Consider the following 26,176-nt stretch of genomic DNA (forward strand, 5'->3'; position numbering starts at 1 on the left):
TCTAGGAAGCATTCAATCTGACCAGTCTTGCCTAGCCTAGGGCCATTTGTGAGGCTAACCAGAGGGGGTAAAATTGGGCAAAACCATCTTGGTTGCTGGGGTAGCTGTTAAGGTAGAAACAGTCAGTGGTGTTCATGCTGGATTCATGGCCATGGATGAACTCCTGGTGTTGGGGACAGGAAGAACAGCTAGTCAAGCCAGTGATGTGACTGACACTGGAACAGAAAGGAGTGGAGGGACCCTCTGGTTTCATGGGCTTCCTCTGGGCTCTGATACCAGCTGCTCTGGAAACCCTCCCTTCATCAGGCTCACTGCTCCCGCCGTTGGCGCTGCTCCTCACACACAGGTGCTCCTAAAGCCTGCAGCCACCTGCGCAGTGTCTTTCTCCTTTGCATTGCTCGAATAAATGTAATTTCATAGCCGACCCACTCCCCAGCCCCTTTTGTTTAGTTTCTCTCATCTGTGGCCTGACACGGTAGCAATTTAGCATGCCACTTTAAATGTACAGATTTAAAATGGGGTTGGCTAAATTCAGTATGGGTAATAGAAAACCATTAAATATAGATTAAGACAGTACGTTTAAGTGCCAAAGTGAGTTATATTAGAAAGGAGGGGAATTAGCAGTTTCCTTAGAAAGCAGACTCTGGGATTACTCTGTCTTGTTACTTTTAAAAGTTTCTGCTGAAAAATAATTAGCCTCGAACTGGGCGCAGTGGCTCATGCCTGTAATCCCAGCACTTTAGGAGGCCAAGGTGGGTGGGCTGCTTGAGCTCAGGTGTTTGAGACCAGCCTGGGCAACAGGGCGAAACCCCACCTCCACCAAAAATACAAAAAAAATTAGCGGGGGTGTGGTGGCGTGGGCCTGTGGTCCCAGCTACTTGGGAGGCTGAGGTGGGAGGATCACTTGAGACCGGGAGGCAGAGATTACAGTGAGCCGATATCGCGCCACTGCACTCCAGCCTGGGTGACAGAGGGAGACCCTGTCTCAAAAAAAATAATAATTAGCCTGTGCTAATCTTACTGAATTCCTCAGACAAGAGAAAGGGAGTGAGCATGGCTCCTGTCTGGCGGCCTGAGACACTGCCCTCTCTAACCCTCTCATATTTCTAGTTGCAGGTAGAGTATTTTTAGACTATGGTTCAGGACAGACTAATAAACTTACCTCCGGCAGTGATGGTCATTGGAAATGTCTGACTCTCCGAGTGTCTCCAGTGGTGGCTCTGGACACACCTTCCTTTACTGCGCTTCCTGATATATCCCTGTCCTTCCCCACGTCAGGAGTGACAGTGGAGTGTCTAGTTGGGGTGCCCACTGAGGCAGAGCACGGATCCACCTCTCATCTTAGAGCTGTAGTTCTTTGGGCAACTCTTTGTTGGATCCCCTGACAGCAAATTACTTCCTGGTGGAGTAAAAGTGATTTACCTCTCTGACAAAGCTCAGAGTGAATGTGCCCCTGAGGTCCAGCCAGCTCCTCGTCCATCTCCTAGGCAGTGTGAATAAGGATAACTGATATTTAGAGTCTAACTCCTGCATGCCACAAGCTCTGCCTGCCCGGCTGGTCCAGGAAATGAAAAGGAGCCTGCTGTGGGTTAAGTAAGTTACAAGCACACCCATGGGAGTTTGACTTGGACCATAAGCAAGGGTTCCTTACACTCCTCCGCTCTGCCGGGGCCCGAAAGTCTTCATCAGGCAGAATTTGAAAATAAAGTGCTTTATTGCTGAGGAGCCCAGAGAGCTTCAGGGCGGCCATCTGGGGGCTAGGACTGAAGTCCCCTAACTTTTGGTGGCTCTTGTGAACAGAGACAGTTGAGACTTCAATATTTCAACCCCATAGAAGGCAAGGAAGTGCAGCCAGGGGAATGGGGAGGCAGGGAAGAGGCATGAGGTGTGCCGGGAGAGCGATTATGTGCATCTCTTCCCAACTCTGAGTTCAGTGCATTCAGTGATGCTGGCAGCATGACATGGGACACTGCTGGGAGAATTTACACCACAGAAGCTGCCCAAATGCAATAAATCAGGGCTTTTTTCCCCTCCCAGAGAACTGGTTTACTATAGACGTGTGACACACCGTCCCGAGCTAGTGCTGAACCCACCCAAGCCTGGCTACTGTGACAAGCTGTCACCTCCCCACTCGGGGGGAGTGCCAACTCCCAGCCCTGCACATCCCTACAATCAGCAGAACAGAGGGGGCTGAGCAAAGGAAAGGGACCAGAATTGGGCAACCCATTCCCTGCCTGGAGTCCACTTCGCCTCAGCTGGGCTGGCTTGCAGCCCAAGACTAAAGTTGGTGTCCAACAGAAAGGCAGCTTGGGGCTACAGATAGCCTCCTGTGCAGTGGCTCGTGGCAGGGAGTGGGGAAAGAAGGGCATGTGCACCACCCAGAGATAAGGAGGGGTGGCCACCCAGGCTGGATGCCCCCCCCGGCAAAGGATGGCTGTGCCCATGAGAAGAGTGGCCCTTCCTCTGCTGGCCATCAGGGTGGAGTAGGAGTGACTCGTGGCAGATCCCGGGAATCGGGATTTTTCTGGAGCTGCTGGCTAACACTTATGTGCAGAGCCAGGGCAGAAGAGCCCAGCTCCCAAGGAGGAGAAAAATGAGTGGCCAGGGTCCCAGCAGGCAGCAGAGGGAGGCCCCGGCAGACACATGCACATATGCACATTTCCAGGGCTCCCAGGGACACCCACCCTGGGCCCTACATACCCTTCAACCTTCTCACTAACCCCACTGAGATATCTGCTTCGGGGTCGCTGGCAGAGGGCACACAGCCTCGGACCAACCTCACTGGGGGAGCCCTTTCCTCACCCTGTCTGGGCAGGGGCGGGTGAGGAAAGTTCTCCCGTGCAACAGCAGCAGCCGCCTGCCCTCTCCCTGCAGTGTCTGTTCAGCAACCCCGTCACTAGTACTCCTTGGCCTCCTGCAACTGTGCTAGGTACTCCTCCTCCAGGGGGTTGTCGGTGCAGGCTCGGCCGTTGTTGGGAGGGAGCACAGCGTGGAGGCGGCTCCAGTCCCCCTTGCACAGGATCCAGGGCGTCGTGTCGAACTTGAAGTGCAGCTTAGGTGAGAAGTCGGTGCTGATGAGGTTGGGCATGCCGGCGCCCTTGCCACGGGTCAGCAGCCGGCTGTCCTCGTCATAGCAGCAGTGCTGGGCGGCCAGTGTGCTGCTCTCCCCAGACAGCATGGAACGCAGGCAGAAGCGCGCCGTGGGCTGGTAGATGTCCAGGCGCTCGCGAGGGCCACTGGCATCCCTCCACCGGAAGCTGCGGCCCTGGTGCTCGTCCTGTAGGCTCACAGGGCTGTCCATGGCCTCCAGTGGGTAGGCACACGGGCAGCTGGGCAGGTCCCGCAGCATCTGGCTCAGATACTTGATTAGGAAGTCGCTCTTGCAGTTCAGCCACTTCTCACAGCTGTCCACATCTGCAAAGGGCCACAAAGTGCAGGAGGGAAGCCAGTGACAGAGCCAGGCCCGTGTGGGGCGGGGACTGATTAAGGGCCAGTGCATGGGGAGAGAAGGCCCAGGCCCCAGCTGGTGCAAAGGCGTGGCTTGGTAGGGCCTTGGGGATGGAGAGAGGCTACCCCACACCATCCAGACAACCTGAAGCAAGAAGCTCTTGCTCAGAACAGACACAGGCCAAGGGGCTGGAGCAATGACCCAGATGTCCTCTGCGGTGCCATATGTCACATGCTGAATGGTGGGAAAGGTTTAGGTGTCATGTGCTGAATGGTGGGAAAGATCCTGAGATCTTGGAAAAGGATCTGGGGTGAGTGGAGACAGGTACAGCAGCTTTTCACCAACTGGTAAGAAGGTTTCATTATTTTAGCCACTGGACCATTCTTGTTCTGAACGCTGCCTTTCTCAGGCAATCTGGCCTGGGGTGAGTCATTTGGCCACTTTGGGCCTCCTGTGGCCCCCTCTGTCTATGCTGCTCTCCTCCCCATCTCCACCTCGGGAAACGTGGCCTTTTTTTAAACTATATTTTTATTTAATTTTAAAATAAATTATATCCCTCAAAACAAAAACCTGAGGCTAAAGTACATCTGACTGAGGTTCTCTTAAATAGAAGAGCTGGGGGGCCAGGCGCGATGGCTCACGCCTGTAATCTCAGCACTTCTAGAGGCCAAGGCAGGAGGTAGGAGCTCAAGACCAGCCTGGCCAACATGGCAAAGTCCCGTCTCTACAAAAAATACAGAAATTAGCCGGGCTTGGTGGCGCATGCCTGTAATCCCAGCTACTCGGGAGGCTGAGACATGAGAATCACTTGAACCCAGGAGGTGGAGGTTGCAGTGAGCTGAGATCACACCACTGCACTCCAGCCTGGGTGACAGAGCAAGACTCTGTCTCACCATTTCACCCGGTCCCCATGGCACAGTGCAGCAGAGGCCAGGAGCCTTCATAAACCAGAAAGAGGTGCCCCCCAGACTCACCAGAGCCCTGCAGCGAGCAGGGAAGGGGAAAACACTGCAGTCACCAGGGAACAGCAGAAAGAAGAAAAATGGCCTTGGGCGGCTGGCCACGTGGGAATGTGCAGAACCTTGCTCCTCACTCCCCAGAATCTGCCTGAGTGGATGCTGTTAACCGGGTCTTGTTTCTCATTTTCCCTTCTGTGCCCTCATCCTAATGGGATGAGCTGTCCAGCCCCGGACACTGGGGGACTGACTTTGATAGTTTGAGGCTCTGCACATCTCCAAGGGACTGGAACCTTCCCCAGGATCCAGATGCTGGGATTTGGGTTTTGACTGGGAGTGAAGGAGGAGCCTGGGAAATGGTAACACAGGAGAGGGGAAGAGACACACATTTCCCAGGCCCACCCCTGTACCAGAAAACAAACTGCTCCTTCCTCTCTGCTCCCAAATCTTTAGGGCCTTCTTTGCAGTGCAGTGCTCACATGGGTTATGCGTGTCTTTCCCCCATGGGACCTGAGCTCCTTGAGGACATGGACCAAGCCTCAGGCTGCTGACATCCCCTGTGCCAGCACCATGGCCAGGCACATGATGCAGGCTCAGTAGGCTCTTGCTGTGCTGAGTGCAACCCTTATCTGCAAGGTTGGTCTCCCTGCCTTCCTTGCAGGGTGCAAGTAAGACCAACAGACACAGACTCAGAGTGTGCAGGTGGACGCCTGCCCCATGCCCAGCTGCCTGGAGGAGCAATGCTGGAGTTCTGCACACTGACCCATTTCTGACTGCACTGCATCCCCCTCTCCAGACAGAGCCTGCCCAGGAGCCTCCCAAGAGTAACCAAGGAATGGAAGTCAGAACGTCCCCACCCTATCCTGCTGCCAGGGAGGATAGGATATGCCCCCACCAGATGATCTCTAAGCTCTGCCGCTCCCATTAAGACCTTCCCAGTAGGAATACCAGTCTGAGAAAGGCCAATGAGCTGGCTCAGAAATGCCAGGGCCCCCTGTTGGAGAAGCAAACCTTCCAGATGGAAGCTGTGCTCTCTGCCTAGTGGAAAGAAGCCAGGTTCCTGCCATGGAATAATACCCCACCCTCCCCTGAGAGCTCGTTCCCCAAACCACCAGGGGCAAGCCTAGCCCCTCACTCACCTTGATCATGCATGTCCGTAGCATTGCGGGCCAGGAGCTTCCACTCCTCACTGGGGAGGCCCAAGGTGTCCTTGTCCTCAGTGCCTTTGGGAGGAAAGGAGGCCAGGCTGGTGGCTCCGCAGGCCACCTCAGTGCCGCTGATGGGGAAACCCCCCCACCTCAATAGGCTCTCAGTGCCCACAGCAGCCAAAATAGGCCTGGGACAAGGCAGGACCACCATGTTTTTGAGCTTCCTGCATCCCATCTCCCAAGCCCACCCACATTCCCAGGGGACCAAGCCTCCAGCCTAAGCCGCACCAGCCACTCCTATGCAGGGGTAGGGGCTCATCTCACCAGGACAGGAGGGCAGGTCACAGGTACGGGTCTCGGTGGCAGTGCAGCCATAGCCACAGGGCCGAGTCCTCTGCTGCTTGCCAGTGCTGCAGTTCCCACTGCAGGGAGACCAGGGACTCCACTCCTTCTGAGGCTCATAGTCTGGGTTAAGACAGGGAGTTGGGGGTGAGTGCATATAGCTCACAGGGCAAATTGGTACAAATCAGCACAGGGCACCCTTTCCTCAGGTGGATGCAGCCCATGCCAGGGCTTCCAGCCTCATGAATGAAGCTGGGCTGGATTTCAGCTTCCACCTGCTCCCTCAACTGGATTCCCTTCTGCAGTGAATAACCTGTGCAAATATATCAGGTGGCTCTGAAAAGACAGTATAACGCCTAGCCACTTGCTCTGTGTCAACACAGTATAAAGAGGAAATGATACCTAGGGCTGGGAGCTATCTGACCACTATTGGTATGACCTTGGGCAAGTCCCCCTACATCTCTGAGCTATAGGTTTTTTAATTTCTTTTCTGTGTCAGGGTCTTACCCTGTTGCCCAGGCTGGAGTGCAATGGTGTGATCATAGCTCACTGCAGCCTTGACTTCCTGGGCTCAAGCAATCCCCCCACCTCAGCCTCCCTAGTAACTGGGACTACAGGTACGTGCCACTAGGCCTGGCTAATTTTTTCTTTTTTTGAGAATCTGTCACCCAGGCTAGAGTGCAGTGGCGTGATTTCGGCTCACTGTACCTTCGCCTCCCGGGTTCAAGTGATTCTCCTGCCTCAGCCTCCCATGCAGCTGGAATTACAAGCATGCGCCACCATGCCTGGCTAATTTTTTTTTTTTTTTTCAGATGGAGTCTTGCTCTGTCGCCCAGGCTGGAGTGCAGTGGCGTGATCTCGGCTCACTGCAACCTCTGCCTCCCGGGTTCAAGCAATACTCCTGCCTCAGCCTCCTGGGTAGCTGGGATTACAGGTGCCCGCCACCACACCCAGCTAATTTTTGTATTTTTAGTAGAGACAGTGTTTCACCAAGTTGGTCAGGCTGGTCTCGAACCCCTGACCTCATGATCCATCTACCTTGGCCTCCCAAGGTGCTGGGATTACAGGCGTGAGCCACTGCATGGCTAATTTTTGTATTTTTAGTAGAGACGGCGTTTCACCATGTTGGCCAGGCTGGTCTCGAACTCCTGACCTCAAGTGATCCGCCTGCCTTGGCCTCCCAAAGTACTGGGATTACAGGCATGAGCCACTGCACCCGGCTAAGCCTGGCTAATTTTTAAATTTTTTGTAGAGACGGGGTTTCACCATGTTGCCCAGGCTGGTCTTGAACTCCTGGGCTCAAGCGATCCTCCAGCCTCAGCCTCCCAAAATGCTGGGATTACAGGTGTGAGCCACCCACCTGGCCTGAGCTATAGTTTCTATGTCAATCAAAACCAAGGGTGACAATATTTCCCTTGCACTGGAGATATTTAATAATTTCCCAGGCTGGGCATGGTGGCTCATGCCTATAATCCCAGCACTTCGGGAGGCTGAGGCAGACAGATTGCTTAAACTCAGGAGTTCGAGACCAGCCTGGGAAATATGGCAAAACCCCATCTCTACAAAAAATGTTTAAAAAGCTACTGTGGAGGCTGAGGCAGGAGGATCATCTGAGCCAGGGAGGTTGAGGCAGCAGTGAGCTGTGATCATGCTACTGCACTCCAGCCACAGCCACTGTGTCTCACTCCAGACACAGTGAGACACTGTCTCAAAAAAAAAAAAAAAAGAATTTCCCTGCTACCCATATTAGGGACCCACTTCTGATCTGAGGGAGCTGAAATACACTGTGGCTGGGCCCAAATCCTCAGGGTGTGCAGGGCCTGAGACCCAGTGCTTTCTGTGAAACCCCCAAAATACTGAGAGCTGGTTCCACACTTCACAGGCAGGCCAGCACTGGCGCCAAGAGTTTAAGGAAAATTAATGGGAGAAAAGCTGAAAAACACGGAAATTTTTTCCTTTTTTTTTTTTTTTTTTTTTTTTTTAGAGACAGGGTCTCGCTCTGTCACCCAGGCTGGAGTGCAGTGATGTAATCATGGCTCACTGCAGCCTTGACCTCCCAGGCTCAAGTGATCCTTCCACTTCAGCCTCCCGAGTAGCTGGGACTACAGGCAGGCGCCGCTGTGCCCAACTAATTTTTGTGTTTTTTGTAGAGACAGGGTTTCAACATGTTGCCCAGACTGATCACAAACTCCTGAGCTCAAGCAGTCCACCTGCCTTGGCCTCCCAAAGTGCTGGGATTACAAGGCATGAGCCACCATGCCCGGCTGTCATGAAAATTTTCTGTGAGTTTACATTATTTTAGTGAATTGGGAAGAGCCTGTCACAAGTTAGTCTTAACAATAGGCACCTCTGTCCATTGACAAGACACCAGGGCTCCAAGGGGAATGGCTGCAACTATGCATAAAACATGTCTGCACCCAGAGGAAACCTGAACCACAATACGCAAAAATAAAAATCATCATCATGGCCGGGCACGGTGGCTCATGCCTGTAATTCCAGCACTTTGGGAGGCCAAGGCAGGCAGATCACTTGAGGTCAGGAGTTCAAGATCAGCCTGGCCAAGCTGGTGAAACCCCATCTCTACTAAAACTACAAAAATTAGCCAGGCGTGGTGGTCCACACCTGTAATCTCAGCTACTTGGGAGGCTGAGGCATGAGAATCGTCCGAACCTGGGAGGTGGAGGTTGCAGTGAGCCGAGATTGTGCCACTGCACTCCAGCCTGGGCAACAGAGTGAGACTCCACCTCAAAAAAATTAAAAAAAAAAAATCTGTCATCATGAGAGGCTGGTAGGCTTAAGGTAATATTTTCTGAACAGTTTGTGCTGCTGTTGTGTCTTTTTCTAACAAAAATAATAAAAATAGCCAATACTTTCTTTACTCCATGCTGGCACTGTATATGTCTTAACTCACTTAATACTCTCTACAGCCAACTCCATGTAGTAAAGATTATACCATTCCCCATTCTATAGAGGAAGGAACTGAGGCACAGAGAGTTGAAGAATCTTGCCCAAGGTCATTCAGCTGGTAAGCAACACAGTCAGGAGTCAAAGTCACACACACAATCTGAAAATAAGGTCAGTCATGAGTGATGGAATTTATAATTTCTCAATCCTTGGAAACTCACAGATGTAAATAAATATAATAGTAACAAATGTCTTTTGCTTAGGGGATATCAGAGATTTTTGTGAGGGTCAAATGTTGTTCAGAAAAAAAGAAAAAAAAAAGGCTGGGCACAGTGGCTCATGCCTGTAATCCCAGCACTTTGGGAGGCCGAGGTGGGAGGACTGCTTGAGCCCAGGAGTTTGAGACCAGCCTCTGCAACATAGGGAGACCTCATCACTACTAAAAATAAAAAAATTAGCCTGCCCTGGTGGTATGCACCTGTGGTTCCAGCTATTCGGAGGCTAAGGTGGGAGGGCTAAGGTGGGAGGATCGCTTGAGCCCAGGAGTTTGAGGCTGCAGTGAACCATGATCATGCCACTGCACTCCAGCCTGGGTAACAGAGCGAGACCCAATCTCAAATTAAAAAATTAAAAAAAAAAAAAAGGAAAAACTCTGCAAGCTATTGTCAATGTTACTTTTGAGTTGATGATGGTGTTTGAACAAGGCCTAAGCTCCTGGCTTCCTCAATGGTCTTGCCTGGGAAGCCTCCACCCTCTCCCTCACCCCCATTTCCACTCAGTACCTACAGGGGAGCAGCCTGGGGATGCCAAGATGGGGGTGCTCACCGTAGCTGACAGAATCCTTGAAGACCCAATCCCCGGGGGCCAGCCAGCCCTGGTCCCAGTTGTCTGTAGTTCCATTGAACCAGAGCGCCTGCTCTTCCTCATCTTCCTCTTTGTCCTCTTGATCCTCACCCTCGATATCCTCTGAAGGATAGTCCTCGTCTTCCTCCTTTTCCTCCCCCTTCTCCCCTGGGGCCCTGTCTTTTTCCTCTCCTTTGTAGTCTCCCCAGAGGAAGGACCAGAGGGCGGGCAGCCAGCTAAGGGTATCCTGGGGCGGGGGATTGCTGGGCTCAGCCAACAGGTCTATCGACACCTCGGCCTGGGGGTCCTCCACCACCTTGATGGTCACCTGCAGGAGACAGGCCAGGCCGGCCAGTGAAGGAGGTCTTAGAGCTGCATTCCAAAGAGACGAGGGATGATGGGGTCAGGGTCAGAGGTGAGAGGCCCAACCTTTCCTTCAAACCAGCTGTCTTCTCTTGGCTGACATTTTTGGCTAACCTTCCTGGCCTCTTAGGGCACAAGAATCACAGCTTACGGCCTGGAGGTGCATTAGAATCACCTGGGGACTCCTAATTCGCAGATGCCAGGTATGGACTGAACTGGTCTGGGCTGGGGCCAGGTATGGCGGTTCTAACACATGCCAGGGTTGACACTCACTAGCTTAAGAGAAGCTGGCTTTGAATCTCGGCTCTGCCAGCATGCATCTGCTGGACCTGGGCAGCTCTGAGCCTCCAATTCCTCATGGTAGGGCTGGAAGCTGAGTGCTCCCGACACAGCAGCCCTTGGAGGAACTCTCTTGCACCACATTATGGATGGAAAATAAGTAAAAGAAAATCATTTATGTGAAACTGAACTTCGGAAACATTAGGCTATTCAATAAAGTAACATGAGGTTCACTGAACAAAATTTGGAAAAAAACAGCAAACTATGAAGAAGAAAATGAAAATCGCCTATATTCTGGCTGGGCTCAGTGGCTCACGCCTGTAATCCCAGCACTTTGGGAGGCCGAGGTGGGCAGATCACGAGGTCAAGAGTTCGAGACCAGCCTGGCCAACATGGTGAAACCCCGTCTCTACTAAAAATACAAAAATTAGCCGGGCATGTTGGTGCACCCAGCTACTTGGGAGCCTGAGGCAGGAAAATTTATTGAACCCAGGAGGCAAAGGTTGCAGGGAGCTGAGATCATGCCATTGCATTCCAGCCTGTGCAACAGAGCGAGACTCCATCTCAAAAAAAAAAAAAAAGAAAGAAAAAAGAATATCACCTATATTCTATCACTGACATTTCTGCCTTCCAGTTTTTTGCGTGTGCGTGTGCGTGTGTGCGTGTGTGTGTGTGTGTCTGTGTGTGTGTGTGTAGGTAAGTAGAGAAAAGAAGAGAGACACTTTTAAATAATTTTAGAATTGTGTTTTATACTTTTATGGTCTTTTTTCCCCTTCTGGGGAAAGTGTTTTGTAAACTATAGCTGCTACACAAACATGCAGAATTATTATCATGAAGGACTCACGCCAGGCAGTGGAGCCTGAAACTAGAATTCTGCCAGCTGCTCTAATTTCCTCTCCTATAAAGCCCTTCAGGTGGCTGTCCCCCATGCCACCAGCCTACTCCATTCCATACTGAACCCCTTCTTTAGGGGATCAGACCTGCAGGTCTTTTCCAGGAGGCCTCCTTAGATTCCTGGAATCCCTTGTAGCCTACAAAGCATTTCCCACTCACTGGTGCTCACATAGCCCTGCTGGGTTGGTGCTGTTTGTCTCTTGCCATGGTCTAGAGAACAAAGGCTCAAAGAGTCAAAAGACTTGCCCAAGGCCCACAGCTAGAAAGTAGAGGGGCAGGTCCTCTGCCCCCTACACCACAGGGAGAGCATGGGGAGCCTGCCCTCTGACCCCACACAGCAGCCCCACCCTCCACGGAATCCAGGATATAGGGTATCCTGAGCCCACCTTGTCAGCCCCGCTCCTCTCCGGGTGTCTGCAGGGCTGCTGGCCCTTCTGTAGCTCTCACCTGGTTATCAGGGTTAGGGGTACTCAAGGTTGCGTGGACCAATTCTGGCAGCTTCTGCAGCTCCAGCAGCAAGGGAGTAACCTCCTGGGTCCTGGGAGGCGTGGCATTCCCTGGGGTCAGGGCTGCTGGCTCAGTGACAGTCCAACATCCATGTTGGTGTAGCTCTGCCTGCAGGTGGGTTCTGGGGAGCAGTCGTGCCTCCTCCTCTTCCCTCAGAGGCCTAGGATCTGGGGAGGCTGAAGCCTGAGGAAGAGAGAGGGAAGGTGAGGTGACAGGTTAGGGCTTACCCAACAGGGACCCAGAAAAGGCTGGCCAGGCAGAGCCAGGAGCTGCTGGCCCTTCTGTAGCTCTCACCTGGGTATCAGGGTTAGGGGTACTCAAGGTTGTGTTGGCCAATCCCGGCAGCTTCTGCAGCTCCAGCCGCAACGGAGTAACCTCTGGGGTCCTGGGAGGGGTGGCGTTGCCTGGGGTCATGGCTGCTGGCTCAGTGACAGTCCAGCATCCATGTTGGTGTGGCTCTGCCTGCAGGTGGGTTCTGGGGAGCAGTGGTGCCTCCTCCTCTTCCTTCAGAGGCCTAGGATCTGGGGAGGCTGAGACCTGAGGGAGAGAGAAGGAAGGTAAGGTAACAGGTCAGGGCTCACCCCACGGGGATCCGGAAAAGGCTGGCCAGGCAGATCCAGGAGCCCTGGGGTCTGACCGGGTCATAAACTCACCCTGTGACTTACATCTCTCTGGAGTGTGTATCTGTAGTGTAAAATCTCCACACTGCCTGCTTTAAGGCCCTCAACGGGTAAGTGAGGGTGTAGCTGGTCAGACAGTGGACTGTATCCACAAAGTGCTTTCACAGAGGATGCCAGTGTAAGGCATGAAAAGGAGGGTCATTTCACAGATGAAGAAACCACAGCCCAAGAAGGGGAGAGAGTTGTTTCAGAGAGTGGTGTCCTTTGCAGACAATGTGCCTCCCACTCCCCAAGGCCCTCACAGGCCAGAGGAGAAAGGCCCCCAGGGATGCACCTGGTCCTATCAGGGAGTGGGCAGCAGGCCTTGGCCTTTCCCCTCAGCCTGCTCCTGTCCGCTAGGCCCCACCCAGGCCATCCACATGAGGGCTGTGTTCCTCCGCCTGCCTGCCTGGGGCCTGGCTCCTTTTTCTATTCCAGGCTGCTGGCATGGCTGACTCAGCCAGTTCATCCCTGCCAACAGCCACTGGCCATGGTGTCCTCACCGGGACAGTCCTTGCTTCAGATCAGATGGTAAGTGAAAAGCAGATCCATGTCATCTCTGACTCCTGTTCAGCATTCATCTGCCCAGACAGTGGGGCACTAGGGGCTCAGTGGCTGCCACCTGCCTCCAGGCTATAGCCACTGCCCAGGTCTCTATGCCAGGGCAAAAGGAGCACCTCCCAGAGCTGCCTTATGAGTCTCCGGGACCTGCCACCTGTGGACCCTGCTTCACTCAGGCCACACCCTTGCCACCCCTCCCGTCTCATACCTGGGCAGTATGGTATGGCTGACAAACACTGGTTGTGAGAGTCAGATAAGCTTGGGTTCAAATCCCATCTCTGCCTCTTACTAACTTCTTCAACTTGACAATATCCTCGTCTGCAGAATGAAGATAATCATTCTTCCCTGCAAGGACTGTGAGAATTTTATTTATCAAACATTTCCACAGCATTTACTGCACACCAGGCACTATTCTAAACACTTCATCACTCATTTCATCCTCCCTGTCTTACATCCTCATTGTCATGCCTGTCTTACAGTGGAAACTAAGGCACAGAGAGGGCAAGTAACCTGCCTGAGGTTGCACAGACATTTAGCGATAAAGCCAGGATTTAAACCAGGCAGTCTGGGCCTAGAGCCCATTCTCTTAACCTGCAAGCTATAAAGTGATAGTATTGTATCCCCTTCAAAAATCAGGGGCTTAATCAGCCTAGTTTCTCACTCTTACTTTTTTTTCTTGAAAGTTTGGAAACAGATTCAGAATCTTCTGTCTCTCCCTCTTTGACCTCCCCTTCTGCGGTGTCCAAACACCTGGCTCCAGGGCTCCTGCACTAAACGCCTGGTCCCAGGGCAGCCGTGGGCCCATCTCGGCCCCAGCCTGGAGTCTCTTGCTGAGTCAAAGCCCTCTAGTCTAGACAGCAGGGTGGATGAGTGGAAGGTGGAAGGGTGAGTAATGGAACAACTCAGCCCCTTCACTGACCAATGAGGGAGGCCTGGAGCATCCCTAAGTGCTGGCTTCCTAGCAGCTCCCACCCACAATTCCACCAAAGCCCTAACTGTGCCTGTGACTTTGCTCAGCATCTCCACTGTCTGCAGTCTCTGGGGCATAGAGACAGGCAGTCTCGGAGCAGCAGGTGTTCAGGGCTGTGCAGCCTTTTGGCTGATTGGGATACCCTAGCCTGGTGGTGGCTGGGCCTGCCTGGGCAGGTGGTACAGTGGTTATGCAGTGGTTCTCATCTGGGGACATGTGGCACTGCCTGGAGAAATTTGTGATTGTCACAGCTAGAGGAGGTTTCTACTAGTATCTAGTAGGCACAGGCCAGGAATGCTGCCACATAGCCTGCAGTGCACAAGGCCATCCCACAAGAATCATCCAACCCACATGTGAATAGTGCTGTAGTTAAGAAAGCATGCTCTAGGCCAGGCACGGTGGCTCACGCCTGTAATCCTAGCACTTTGGGAGGCTGAGGCGGGTGGATCACTTGAGGTCGGGAGTTTGAGACCAGCCTGGCCAACATGGTGAAATCCTGTCCCTACTAAAAATACAAAAAAAATTAGCTGGGCATGGTGGCAGGTGCCTGTAGTCCCAGCTACTCGGGAGGCTGAGGCAGGAGAATCGCTTGAACTGAGGCAGCAGAAGTTGCAGTGAGCCAAGATCGCATCATTGCACTCCAGCCTGGGCAACAGAGTGAGAATCCATCTTAAATAAATAAATAAATAAATAAATAAATAAATAAATAATAAAAAGAAAAGAAAAGCAAGCATGCTGTAGATTGGGCTGCCTGGTCTGAGTTCTGCTGGCAGCCTGGCTTCTAACCTGTGGGGCCCTAGCAGGAGAGAAGCCTCTGTGAGCTTCTTCATCTGCAAAATGGGAATGACAACAGGACTAAGCCTAGCCCAGGCCCTGCTACCCAGTAGGTGCTCAAAATGTTCCTTTCCAGACCTCTCTACCCACTCCTCTCCCTGGTGCCCAGTCAGACCATAGGGTGGGCAAAGGCCAGAGAGGTTCTGGCCAAGTGTCACAGCCACACGTGCCGCCTTTCCTCTCTGGAGCTGCTCTTGGGAGTCTCCCTCTCTGTACGTCAGCCCTTGCGGAACTCCTGGGAGTGGAAAGAGATGTGGGGAACGTCTCATCTTAGTTTGGGTTCTCTTGAAGCCTACCCCAAGACAAGGGTTCCAGTGTAGGTGGTTCCACTGGGAGGTGGCCCCAGGAGATGCCAGAAGAGGGTAGGGGAGCGAGACAGGGAAGGGGAGGCGGCAGTCAAGGATGCAGTCAAGCAGCAACCATGATGGGCACCTGCAGCCAATCCCCCTGGGCTCCTCCGATACCCCTCGAGCAGGGACAGAGCTGGGGATTTATCTGCCAACTCCACCAGTCCTGGTTAAAGGCTCTGGGGCTAGAAGGGAGGATTTGCTCTCCAGGCACTTCAAGTGAGCCACGTACATCTCCCAGAAGGGCTGAGGGGATCAGGGCCGGGCACCCAGAGGCCCAGCCCATAGCCAACCTCTGGACACATCTTACACACCAGGCCTTCCTAGGCAATTTCCATGCCATCTGTCACTTTTTCCAACTCAAAGGTAAGTTCTGTGCAGACAGGAATTGTGTCTGCTTTGTTCACTGTGGGATACTGTGCTGAGCACAGTGCCTGATACATTATAGGAGCCCGATAAATCACTGCCACGTAAACAAATGAACACCAGCAACCCTGAGGGGCGAGCGTGATCACCTTTATGTTAAAGATGAGGCTATGGAGGCTCAGGGAGGGTAGGGACTTATGTAAGGTCTTAAAGGTTACAATAAGAGAACTGGGATTCAGCTCAGCCCAGCCTGATCTCAACACCTGCGCACTGGTGCACACTATGCACGTGTGGACAGACACTGGTGACAGTAACCCCTTGTGGGCCACCACCTTCTGTCTTCACAGAGCAGTTCCACTTTCATCTCAGCTGAATGTGGTGGAAATGAGTTCAGGCTGGAGTCCACATGACCGGGGTTCAATCCCAACATGTACACCTACTAGCTGCATGACCTCCGGCAGGTTACTTAATCTGCCTTAGTTCCTTCCTCTGTAATTTAGGGAAACACCAGCGCCTGTCTCATAGGGTTGTTGAATTAGAATAGTACCTTGTAGGTGCTAAGCATGCAATGAACGTTACCCAGAGGTGGCGACAGATGGTACTCAGAAGGCAGACAGAGGAGCCATCAGGGGCACCCCCCTCGCCAGGCAACATGCCAGTTCTTCACACCTCATTCAGGTCCCCCGAACACTGCTGCAAAATCACTCGGCAGGTGTATCCTCATGGCATTCTGAGGGGAATTCTGAGACTCCAGGTTGTTGAAGAACTCCAGTCCTGTCTCACAAGACCACCTCTCTCCATCTTCTAAGCTTACATGTGGAGTTGCATGCATGTACAAACACACAAGGCCATTCTTTTGGGGGGTGGTGTCACTGCCCAAATAGAGATACATCTGAGGTATATCTTTACCAGTTCTCTCTCTCTCTCACCCCTATGCTTACCTTCCCAGGCTTGGCCGGGCAGCCCCTGACCCACGTGTTTCCAGTTAACACAACAGAGTCCCAATCCCCACAGACCCTTACTGCATTGCGTGAGCCCGCCTGCTAACCTGTTTCAGCCCCTTCACAGTTCCCTGTTCTCCCTTCTCCTTTGTGCCTCAGGGGTCAGAAACTTGTTCTGGATAATTAAATTCAGTCACCAAGTGCAGGTCCCGCAGCCCTAGCTCCTGAAGCCCAGGCCCAACCACACAGAGCCAGGCTGCACACTAAGTCATGCTGGTGGGAGGTGCTGGAGACCCAGCACACAACAGCAATTGCCTCTTTAGCCAGGCCTGAGACCCTGCATACAACACAGCAATTGCCTCTTTAGCCGGGCCTGAGACCCTGCCTACAATAGCAATTGACTCTTTAGTCAGGCCTCTTTAGCCACAGGCAGAGGAATAGGGCTGGATTTCATTCTCCCTCAACTACCTTCCTGATTGGTAAGTACTATTCTTTTTTTTTAAGACTGGGTCTTGCTATGTTGCCCAGACTGGCCTCGATATTCCTGGGCTCAAATAATCCTCCCACCTCAGCCTCCTGAGTAGCTGGGATTAGGTATGTACTATTCTAAGCCAACCCACCCTGGCACCCAGCGGAGGCTGCAAAGCTCCTCACTGTAATAAGAGTAGTGCTGACCAAGCATAGTGCTCCCCGCACAGGGCCGGCTTCATGGTGTGCAACCTGTGTCTTTGCACTGAGCCCCATATTTAGTTTAACGCTCTGCTGTTGCCCTTTGGAAATAGCTAAGAAGCCTCATATTTTCTTTTTTTATTTTAGTTTTTGAGATGGAGTCTTGCTCTGTCGCCCAGGCTGGAGTGCAGTGGCACGATCTTGGCTCACTGCAAGCTAAGCCTCCCGGGTTCACGCTATTCTCCTGCCTCAGCCTCCCAATTAGCTGGGACTACAGGCGCCCGCCACCATGCCCAGCTAATTTTTTGTATTTTTAATAGAGATGGGGTTTCACCGTGTTAGCCAGGATGGTCTCAATCTCCTGACTTCGTGATCCGCCCTCCTCGGCCTCCCAAAGTGCTGGGATTACAGGCGTGAGCCACCACGCCCGGCTAATTTTTTGTATTTTTAGTAGAGATGGGGTTTCACCATGTTAGCCAGGATGGTCTCAATCTCTTGACTTCGTGATCCGCCCGCCTCGGCCTCCCAAAGTGCTGGGATTACAGGCGTGAGCCACTGCACCCGGCCAAGAAGCCCAACATTTTCATTCTGCACTGGGCCCCACAAAAAATGTGGCCAGTTGGCTTTCCCAGGTAAAGGCAATAAAAAAAGAAAGAAAAAGAACGGAGCCAGTCTTGCCGATCACCCTATATGTACAGACTCACTGGATTCTCACAACAACACTTTAGGTAGGTGTGAGCATCATCTTCACTTCATAGACAATGCAGCCAAGGATCAGAGAGGTAACGTAACTTGCCTGGAGTCACACAGCTAGGGGCTGGCAGAGTGGGATTTGATGTCAGTGGTATGGCTGGAGTTTGTGCTCTTAAGCCTTGTGCTTTGCTAACTCCAGGCAGTGGCTGCACCTTCTGGTTTGCCGCCTGCTGCTCTGCGGTGCTGAATGTGCTGGATGAACAAAACACTATACAGGATGTTCAACTCTCCACGTCCATCCTTCCCTTTGATCCTCGTAACAACCTGAGACTGAGATCGGAGAGGCTGGAGACTTGCCTGAGGCCTCTGGGCAGCCAAGCTTCCAGGCCTCATTCCTGTCCTTCTCTCTCTCCCTCCCTGGGGGCTTTTCCAACCCTTTAGAGACTGAATGGTCTGGAGGGATAAGGAAGGCCATAGCTGAGGTCCAGGAAGGTGGCCAGCTGCAGGAGAAGGCTAGCAGGTGAGGCCACAGGCTTGGCACCACACAGACCTAGGTTCTAGTTCTCCCCTGGCACTCACTCACTGATTGGGCTAGAAAGACCCCACAACCAGATAAAATCAGCCTTTAGGAAATACATCCTTCTCATTGCCACCCACCTGGCAGGTGAGACCTTGCAAATCTCCGGCAATCCAGCCCCTGCTTCCAGGCAACTGGCTGGACAATGGACCGGGACTGAAGTGCTGGGGGGGCACCCCCACCATGTTCATGACACTGCCTCAGGTTTCTCAGGGACCCCAGGCTCCTTCCTCTGCCCTTTGTTCTGTCTCAGCCTATACCCTCAACAAGCGCTTCTTTCATGGCCATTTAACCCCTGCTGCGGCAGCACAAACCACCCCCATCCCGCTCCAGGTGGGACAGTCTTTGCAGACTGGAAGAACAGTCCTCTCTCAGGTCTCCTCTGTTTATTTATTTATTTTTAAATAGAGATAGGGTCTCACTCTGCAGCTTAGGCTGGAGTGCAGTGGCATGACCTCGGCTCACCGCAACCTCTGCCTCCCGGGCTCAAGTGATTCTCCTGCCTTAGCCTCCCAAGTAGCTGGGATTACAGGTGGCTGCCACCATGCCCGGCTAATTTTTTTGGTATTTTTAGTAGAGACAGGGTTTCACCATGTTGGCTAGACTGGTCTCCAACTCCTAACCTCAGGTGATCCACCCGCCCTGGCTTCCCAAAGTGCTGGAATTACAGGCATGGGCCACCGCGTCTGGTCTTTTTTTTTTTTTTTTTTTTTTTGAGATGGAATCTCACTCTGTCACCCAGGCTGGGGTGCAGAGGCACAATCTCGGCTCACTGCAACCTCACCTCCTGGGTTCAAGCGATTCTCATGCCTCAGCCTCCCGAGTAGCTGGGATTACAGGCCCCTGCCACTAAGCCCTGCTAATTTTTGTATTTTTAGTAGAGACGGGGTTTCACCATGTTGGCCAGGCTGGTCTTGAACTCCTGACCTCAGGGGATCCGCCTGCCTCAGCCTCCCAAAGTGCTAGGATTACAGGCGTGAGCCACCGCCCAGCCCCCCACCTTTTTTTTTTTTTAAATAAAGACAGAGTCTCACTCTGTAGTCCAGGCTGGAGTGCACTGGTGCAATCACAGCTCACAGGAGCTGTGAACTCCTGGCCTCAATCCTCCCACCTTGGCCTTCCAAAGTGCTGGAATTACAGGCATGAGCCACCACACCCAGCCTCTCTTGCCTAATTCTAACCCCCTCAACCCCTTTGTGGCACCAAGTCCCCAGCTCTTCTTTCTCCCATGCCAAGGTCTTCCCTTGCCTGCCAGGGAGGTGGTGGGTGCCAGGTTTAGGTGCCCAGGGGCTCTGGAATTAAGCAAAACTGAGTGGGGATCCTGGCTCACCACATACTAACCTTGGGTTAGTTACTGGGCCCGCTGTCAGTTTTCTCATCCCTAAAATGATAATAAGACAAGGAACACACATGGCGGCTGTTTGAGTGGTGTTCTCATCCTAACTAGAACAGAAAATACCCAAGACAGAGCTGGGTCACTCTTTGCCTGTCCAGCACTCAACAAACTGGCCCCAGCCTTTTTTTTTTTTTTTTTTTTCAAGACAGGGTCTTGCTCTGTTGCCCAGGATGGAGTACAGTAGTGTGTTCACAGCTCAGAGCAGCCTCGAACTCCTCGTGATCCTCCCACCCACCCTCCAAGTAGCTAGCACTATAGGCATGCACTACCCATGCCTGGCTTGGCCCAGCCTCTTTTATTTAATTAATTTATTTATTTGAAGACAGGATCGGCCAGACATGGTGGCTCGCGCCTGTAATCCCAGAACTTTGGGAGGCTGAAGCAGACAGATCTTCTGAGGTCGGGAGTTCGAGACCAGCCTGACCAACATAGCTACTAAAAATACAAAATTAGCCGGGCATGGTGGAACATGCCTGTAGTCCCAGCTACTCAGGAAGGCTGAGGCAGGAGAATCGCTTGAGCCTGGGAGGCAGAGGTTGCAGTGAGCCAAGATTGTGCCATTGCTCTCCAGCCTGGGCAACAAGAGCGAAACTTCATCTCAAAAAAAGAAAAAAAAAAGACAGGGTCTCATTCTGTCACCCAGGCTGGAGTGCAGTGGTGCAATCAATCACAGCTCACTGTAGCCTCAAACTCCTAGGCTTAAGCAATTCTCCCACTTCAGCCCCCAGTAGCTGGGATTACAGGTGCATGCCATCAAGCTTGGCTAATTTTTGTATTTTTAGTAGAGACAGGGTTTCTCCATGTTGCCCAGGCTGATCTTGAACTCCTGAGCTCAAGTGATCCACCTGCCTTGGCTTCCCAAAGTGCTGGGATTACAGGTATGAGCCACCATGCCTGGCCCACAACCTGTTTTTATGACGATGTCACCATCCATGTGTCTGGTGCTTTTTCACCCAGCACTGCATCTGACAGAATGGGTTCTTATTTTACTGTGGGAGTAAACTGAGGCTCAGCAACAGGCCTGCCCAGAGAAGCAGGGGCCATATTTTGTTCACAAGGCTAATTATTTATTATTATTTTTTTTGAGAGGGAGTCTTGCTCTGTCACCCAGGCTGGAGTGCAGTGGCACGATCTCAGCACACTGCAACCTCTGCCTCCTTAGTTCAAGCAATTCTCCTGCCTCAGCCTCCCAAGTAGCTGGGATTATAGGCGCCCACCACCACGCCTGGCTAATTTTTGTATTTTTAGTGGAGATGGGGTGTCTCCATGTTGGCCAGGCTGGTCTCAAACTCCTGACCTCAAGTGATCCACCTGCCTCGGCCTCCCAAAGTGCCGGGATTATAGGCGTGAGCCACTGCGGCCAGCCGAATGATTCTTTTCTTTTCTTTTTTTCTGAGATGGAGTCTCGCTCTGTCGCTCAGGCTGGAATGCAGTGGCGCGATCTTGGCTCACTGCAAGCTCGGTCTCCCGGGTTCACGCCGTTCTCCTGCCTCAGCCTCCCGAGTAGCTGGGAGTACAGGTGCTTGCTACCATGCCCAGCTAATTTTTTTTTTTTGTATTTTTAGTAGAGATGGGGTTTCACCGTGTTAGCCAGGATGGTCTTGATCTCCTGATCTTGTGATCCGCCCGCCTCGGCCTCCCAAAGTGCTGGGATTACAGGCGTGAGCCACCGTTCCCGGCCCTGTGATTCTTTTCAAGACTTCAGATGAGCAGACTAGAACATGACATGCAAAGATGTACCATAAGGTCCCAGACCTGGCTCCTGGCTAGGCTTAACTTTTCTGTGCCTCCATTTTTCATCTGGAAAATGGAGATCATGCCCATGTCAAAGTGGTGTAACAATGAAATATTCTCATGTTAAGTAATTCATATGGACTCTGTAAGGCCCAGAAAATGCTCACTTCCCTTTCAGCAACCTTTACTTTTAGATTCAGGGGTTTGATGTTCTTTAGCTTCTTCATTAAGGTCTTTGGGCTGGTCAGTTATTTCTTTTTTATTTTTCAATTTTTTTTAATTTTTGAGATGGAGACTCACTCTGTCTCCCAGGCTGGAGTGCAGTGGCACAATCTCGGCTCACTATGACCTCTGCCTCCTAGGTTCAAGCAATTCTTCTGCCTCAGCCTCCCAATAAGCTGGGACCACAGGTGCCCACAACCATGCCCGGCTAATTTTTGTATTTTTAGTAGAGATGGGGTTTCACCAGGTTGGCCAGGCTGGTCTTGAACTCCTGACCTCAAGTGATCCACCCTCCTCAGCCTCCCAAAGTGCTGAGATTACAGGTGTGAGCCACTGCACCCAGCCTGGTCAGTTATTTGTGACACGCCACCCAAGTCCCTAGAATAGCAATCTGCATTCTCTCAACATGACTCCTTAAACTAACACCTTTGCCATAGACAGCTTTAACACAAATCATGAAGACTCATGGAACGATGTCAGAGCTGGACAGAACCATAAAGATGACTTAGGCTCTCTCAGCTCTCTTTTTTCATTTTATTTATTTATTTTTGAGACAGGGTCTCGCTTTGTCACCCAGGTTGGAGTGCAGTGGCGCGATCTCAGCTCACTGCAACTCTTGCCTCCTGGGCTCAGGAGATCCTCCCACCTCAGCCTCCAGAGTAGCTGAGACTACGGGGGGCGCACCATCACGCTCAGCTAATTTTTGTATTTTTTGGGGGGTAGAGATGGGTTTTCGCCATGTTGCTCAGGCTGGTCTTGAACTCCTGGGCTCAAGCAATTCTCCCACCTTGGCCTCCCAAAGTGCTGGGATTACAGGTGTGAGCCACCACGCAGGCCCCTCTTTTTAAATGTGAGGAAATCATCCGAGGTGAGTCACACATGCATTAATGACCCACTGGGACCAGAACTCCAAGGCCTAGACTCTAAGCTCTGCTTTTTCATTGTGGCACTAATTTGTTTTCACATGTTTTTGATGACTCTGCCAGGCTTTGTACGGGAGCTGAGGATATGATTTTGGCTCTGAAATAACTCATCCTCTAGGGTGTTCTTGTTAGGGGAAGATTTGGCAAACATGCTAAAAATAATTACAATACAAAGCAGTAAGTACTAAAATAGAAAGTATTCATGCCAAGTGAGCAGAAACAATGCCAATTTAGTTAATTTTATTATCACTGTCATCTCCATGTAGGAGGAGGGACTGGCGAGAGGCCTCATCTGTCTACAACAGTCATTCTCCACTACGGGCAGTGGGGATAGGGTGTCCCACAGGAAGCATGTGGAGTGTCTGGGCCTCGTGAGGCGGCAAGTGCTACAGGCGCCTAGTGGGTAGAGGCCAGGAATGCTGCTAAACGTTCTATGAAGCATAAGACAACAGCCCCTACCACAAAGAATTATATGCCCCAAAATGACGAGGGTGCCGAGGCTGAGAAGAGCCAGTCTAAAGGATGCATTCTCAATAGGGGCAATAACTAGATCTTGTGAGGGACCAAAAAGTCTTAAGATATTACAATGGTTTGTGACATTCCAAAGGGCTATAATACATAGACAGTGTATCTATGGTATTAAAATGTCATGGGGAGGTCGGGCGTGGTGGCTGACACCTGTAAGCCCAGTACTTTGGGAGGCCAAGGCAGATGGATCACTTGAGGTCAGGAGTTTGAGACCAGCCTGGTCAACATGACGAAACCCCATCTCTACTAAAAAAATACAAAAATTAGCTGGGCGTGGTGGCAGGCATCTGTAATCCCAGCTACTCTTGAGGCTGAGGCAGGAGAATCGCTTGAACTTGGAAGGTGGAGGATGCAGTGAGCCGAGATTGAGCAAGACTCCATGCCAAAAAAAAAAAAAAAAATTCAGCCGGGCATGGTGGCTCACGCCTGTAATCCCAGCACTTTGGGAGGCTGAGGTGGGCAGGTCACCTGAGGTCGGGAGTTCAAGACCAGCCTGACCAACATGCAGAAACCCCATCTCTACTAAAAATACAAAATTAGCTGGGTGTGGTGGCGCATGCCTGTAATCCTAGCTACTCGGGAGGCAGAGGCAGGAGAATCGCTTGAACCCAGGAGGCGGAGGTTGTGGTGAGCCAAGATCACGCCATTGCACTCCAGTCTGGGCAACAAGAGCAAAACTCCGTCTCCGGGAAAAAAAATAGCCGGGCGTGGCGGCTCACACCTGTAATCCCAGCACTTAGGGAGGCCTAGGCAGGTGGATCATAAGGTCAGGAGTTCGAGACCAGCCAGTTCGAGACCAGCCTGGCCAACATGGTGAAACCCTGTCTTGACTAAAAATACAAAAATTAGCCGGGCGTGGTGGCGTGAGCCTGTGATCCCAGCTACTGGGGAGGCTAAGGCAGGAGAATTGCTTGAACCCGAGAGGCGGAGGTTGCAGTGAGCCAAGATTGTGCCACCGCATTCCAGCCTGGGTGACAGAGTGAGACTCCATCTCAGGAAAAAAAAAAAAAAAAAAAAAAAAAAAAAAAAAAAAATTCATGGGGAGTGGGGACAGGAAAAAAACCTAAAAGACTCCTTAAGGGGGCAGAAAAAAAGGTAGCAAAACTGGTCTACAGACACATCCTCAAGTGCAGCCAGTCTCCCCATTCCTTCCCACGGCCTTTGGAGGGTTTCAGCAGTCTGGACAAGTTCTGGCTCTCACTCTCTCACTCACTCACTCACAATCTCCCACACCCTGCATGCCTATATGGACCCTCAGTGTCGTCATCTCAAAAATGGGAAGAATGGCTGGGTGCAGTGGCTCACACCTGTAATCCCAGCACTTTGGGAGGCCGAGGCAGGTGGATCATGAGGTCAGGAGCTCAAGACCGGCCTGGCCAAGATGGTGAAACCCTGTCTCTACTAAAAATACAAAAATTAGCCAGGCGCGGTGGCAGGCGCCTGTTATCCCAGCTACTTGGGAGGCTGAGGCAGGAGAATAGCTTGAACTCGGGTGGCAGAAGTTGCAGTGAGCCAAGATCGTGCCACTGCACTCCAGCCTGGGCAACACAATGAGGCTCTGTCTCAAAAAAAAAAAAAAAAAAAAAGGAAGAAGAAGAATGGCTGGGCACCATGGCTCATGCCTGTAATACTGGCACTATGGGAGGCTGAGGCAGGAGGATTGCTTGAGGTCAGAAGTTCAAGACCAGCCTGGGACACACAGTGAGACCCCCCCATCTCTACAAAATAAAAAATAAAAAAAATTAGCCAGGTGTGGTGGTGCATGCCTGCGCTCCCAGGTACCCAGGAGGCTGAGGCTGGAGGATCGATTGAGTCCGGGAGGTTGAGGCTACAGTGAGCTATCATCACACCACCGCACTCCAGCCTGGGTGACAGAGAGAGATCCTGTCCCAAAAATAAAATAAAAGAGAGGGAGAAAGAAAAAGTAGGAAGGAAGGAGGGAGGGAGGGAGGGAGGGAGGGAGGGAGGGAAGGAAGGAAGGAAGGAAGGAAGGAAGGAAGGAAGGAAGGAAGGAAGGAAGGAAGGAAGGAAAAACGGCAAGATGGGAAGAGCTATTCGGGCCTCCTACAGCTTAGTACATGGAAGGACCCAGGACCCAAGACCTAAGACCACCTGCCACATAGGACTGCTCCTGCATACCCTAATACAAGTCTGGCTGTCTTTGTCCCCATGGGAATGAACGTCCGCTGCATTCCAGGGGGCAATAAGCTGGACTGTAGACCCCTCAGTGACTGGAAGACACAGGGTTTGACAGACCATGGCTTCTCTCCATGGCCAACACCACTCTTCCATCTCATTCCTGTTTTATACCCCAATGCCCACCCACAGGCCACGAGGACAGAGCCAGTCTCAGGCTGGCCACCCCTGCCGGCGGCTGGAGAGCCCCACTGTGCCTCCGCTTGTCTCATGGAAGGGGCTCACCTGACCGTTTGAACCTCAGCGGCCCTGGCCCGCCACTCCGCAAAGCGCCAGATTCCTCGCACCGGCGGGACTCCTCTCCGAGCTAGCGCGCACCTGGAAAGGGGGCTGCAGGCGAGGTCCGCTCAGGGCGAGGAAGCCCGGCCACCGTGGAGTGTCGGCCACCTCACTCCGCACAGAAGTCAAACTTGTCACCCGGCTGGTCCGCGGCAGCCCGGCTCGCGGTCACGCGCGAGGAGTGGAAGCCCCGAAGTCCGGCGCACCTGGGCAACGCCCGGTGTCCGGGAGCTTCCGGCCGGCCCCGGCCCCTCTCTCCATCGGGGGGTCGCTGCCTGTGTGTGTCCCGGTCCCGCTCCCCGCACGGCTGGAGCCGGCGGGCTGGGGAGGTGGGACCGACAGCGCGCTCCGCAGCCCGGTGCCGCCGCCACTCACCTCTGCGAGCCTCGTGAGGCTCCCAGGCCGTGGTCCGCGGAGCCGCGGCTTCTTCACGGGGAGCCCTAGCGCCGCCTCCAGCAGCGCCGCCAGCAGCAGCACGCAGAGGAGGAGCCCGGCTCGGTCGCGGAGCGCACGCATCGTCTCGGTTCCGAGGCTGCTCTGCCTGCACCTCTGCACGCGGCCGCGAACCCAGTCGCGCCCCGCCTCGCCTCCTCCGGG

At 52.6% G+C, this 26,176-nt stretch overlaps 1 protein-coding gene across 2 annotated transcripts, besides 6 other annotated features; it reads right to left on the minus strand.

The window, feature by feature from the left end:
* Positions 1 to 1,695: 1,695 nt before the first annotated feature.
* Positions 1,696 to 26,118, minus strand: ISM2 (isthmin 2). 2 transcript variants are annotated; one of them, NM_199296.3, is made up of 7 exons: positions 25,955 to 26,118; positions 11,979 to 12,221; positions 11,625 to 11,867; positions 9,624 to 9,969; positions 5,877 to 6,017; positions 5,544 to 5,627; positions 1,696 to 3,414 (listed from the first exon to the last, which is right to left on the minus strand). In NM_199296.3, the coding sequence occupies exons 1-7, from the start codon at positions 26,093 to 26,095 to the stop codon at positions 2,897 to 2,899; spliced, it is 1,716 nt and encodes a 571-aa protein (NP_954993.1). In that variant the 5' UTR covers positions 26,096 to 26,118; the 3' UTR covers positions 1,696 to 2,896. The 2 variants fall into 2 exon arrangements, with proteins under 2 accessions (NP_954993.1, NP_872315.2); NM_182509.4 differs by lacking the exon at positions 9,624 to 9,969.
* Positions 4,716 to 4,885: an enhancer, noted in NCBI's record as "experimental_36801 CRE fragment used in MPRA reporter constructs". NCBI's record gives its function as "activates a minimal promoter by MPRAs in K562 erythroleukemia cells, with activity observed for both the introgressed and non-introgressed 14:77943842 variant alleles {active_cell/tissue: K562}" and the evidence as "EXISTENCE:reporter gene assay evidence [ECO:0000049][PMID:34662402]".
* Positions 11,864 to 12,364: an enhancer, noted in NCBI's record as "H3K4me1 hESC enhancer chr14:77950905-77951405 (GRCh37/hg19 assembly coordinates)". NCBI's record gives its function as "activates a minimal SCP1, AML or CMV promoter by ChIP-STARR-seq in naive H9 embryonic stem cells {active_cell/tissue: H9 hESC(naive)}" and the evidence as "EXISTENCE:reporter gene assay evidence [ECO:0000049][PMID:30033119]".
* Positions 17,960 to 18,461: an enhancer, noted in NCBI's record as "H3K4me1 hESC enhancer chr14:77957001-77957502 (GRCh37/hg19 assembly coordinates)". NCBI's record gives its function as "activates a minimal SCP1, AML or CMV promoter by ChIP-STARR-seq in primed H9 embryonic stem cells {active_cell/tissue: H9 hESC(primed)}" and the evidence as "EXISTENCE:reporter gene assay evidence [ECO:0000049][PMID:30033119]".
* Positions 18,462 to 18,961: an enhancer, noted in NCBI's record as "H3K4me1 hESC enhancer chr14:77957503-77958002 (GRCh37/hg19 assembly coordinates)". NCBI's record gives its function as "activates a minimal SCP1, AML or CMV promoter by ChIP-STARR-seq in naive H9 embryonic stem cells {active_cell/tissue: H9 hESC(naive)}" and the evidence as "EXISTENCE:reporter gene assay evidence [ECO:0000049][PMID:30033119]".
* Positions 25,602 to 25,661: a silencer, noted in NCBI's record as "silent region_5973". NCBI's record gives its function as "represses an Ori minimal core promoter by ATAC-STARR-seq in GM12878 lymphoblastoid cells {active_cell/tissue: GM12878}" and the evidence as "EXISTENCE:reporter gene assay evidence [ECO:0000049][PMID:35858748]".
* Positions 25,702 to 25,911: a silencer, noted in NCBI's record as "silent region_5974". NCBI's record gives its function as "represses an Ori minimal core promoter by ATAC-STARR-seq in GM12878 lymphoblastoid cells {active_cell/tissue: GM12878}" and the evidence as "EXISTENCE:reporter gene assay evidence [ECO:0000049][PMID:35858748]".

The sequence above is a fragment of the Homo sapiens genome, chromosome 14, assembly GCF_000001405.40.
Source record: "Homo sapiens chromosome 14, GRCh38.p14 Primary Assembly".
In the NCBI taxonomy this organism is placed as follows: Eukaryota; Metazoa; Chordata; class Mammalia; order Primates; family Hominidae; genus Homo; species Homo sapiens.

Bases quoted from the DNA above. Each gene is read 5' to 3' on its own strand.
- ISM2 (NM_199296.3), bottom strand. From the start codon at position 26,095: ATGCGTGCGCTCCGCGACCGAGCCGGGCTCCTCCTCTGCGTGCTGCTG. The intron at 11,868-11,978 runs GTGAGAGCTACA...TCTCTTCCTCAG, and splicing joins CCCCTAACCCTGATACCCAG to GCTTCAGCCTCCCCAGATCC. The intron at 6,018-9,623 runs GTGAGCACCCCC...GTCTTAACCCAG, and splicing joins CAAGGATTCTGTCAGCTACG to ACTATGAGCCTCAGAAGGAG.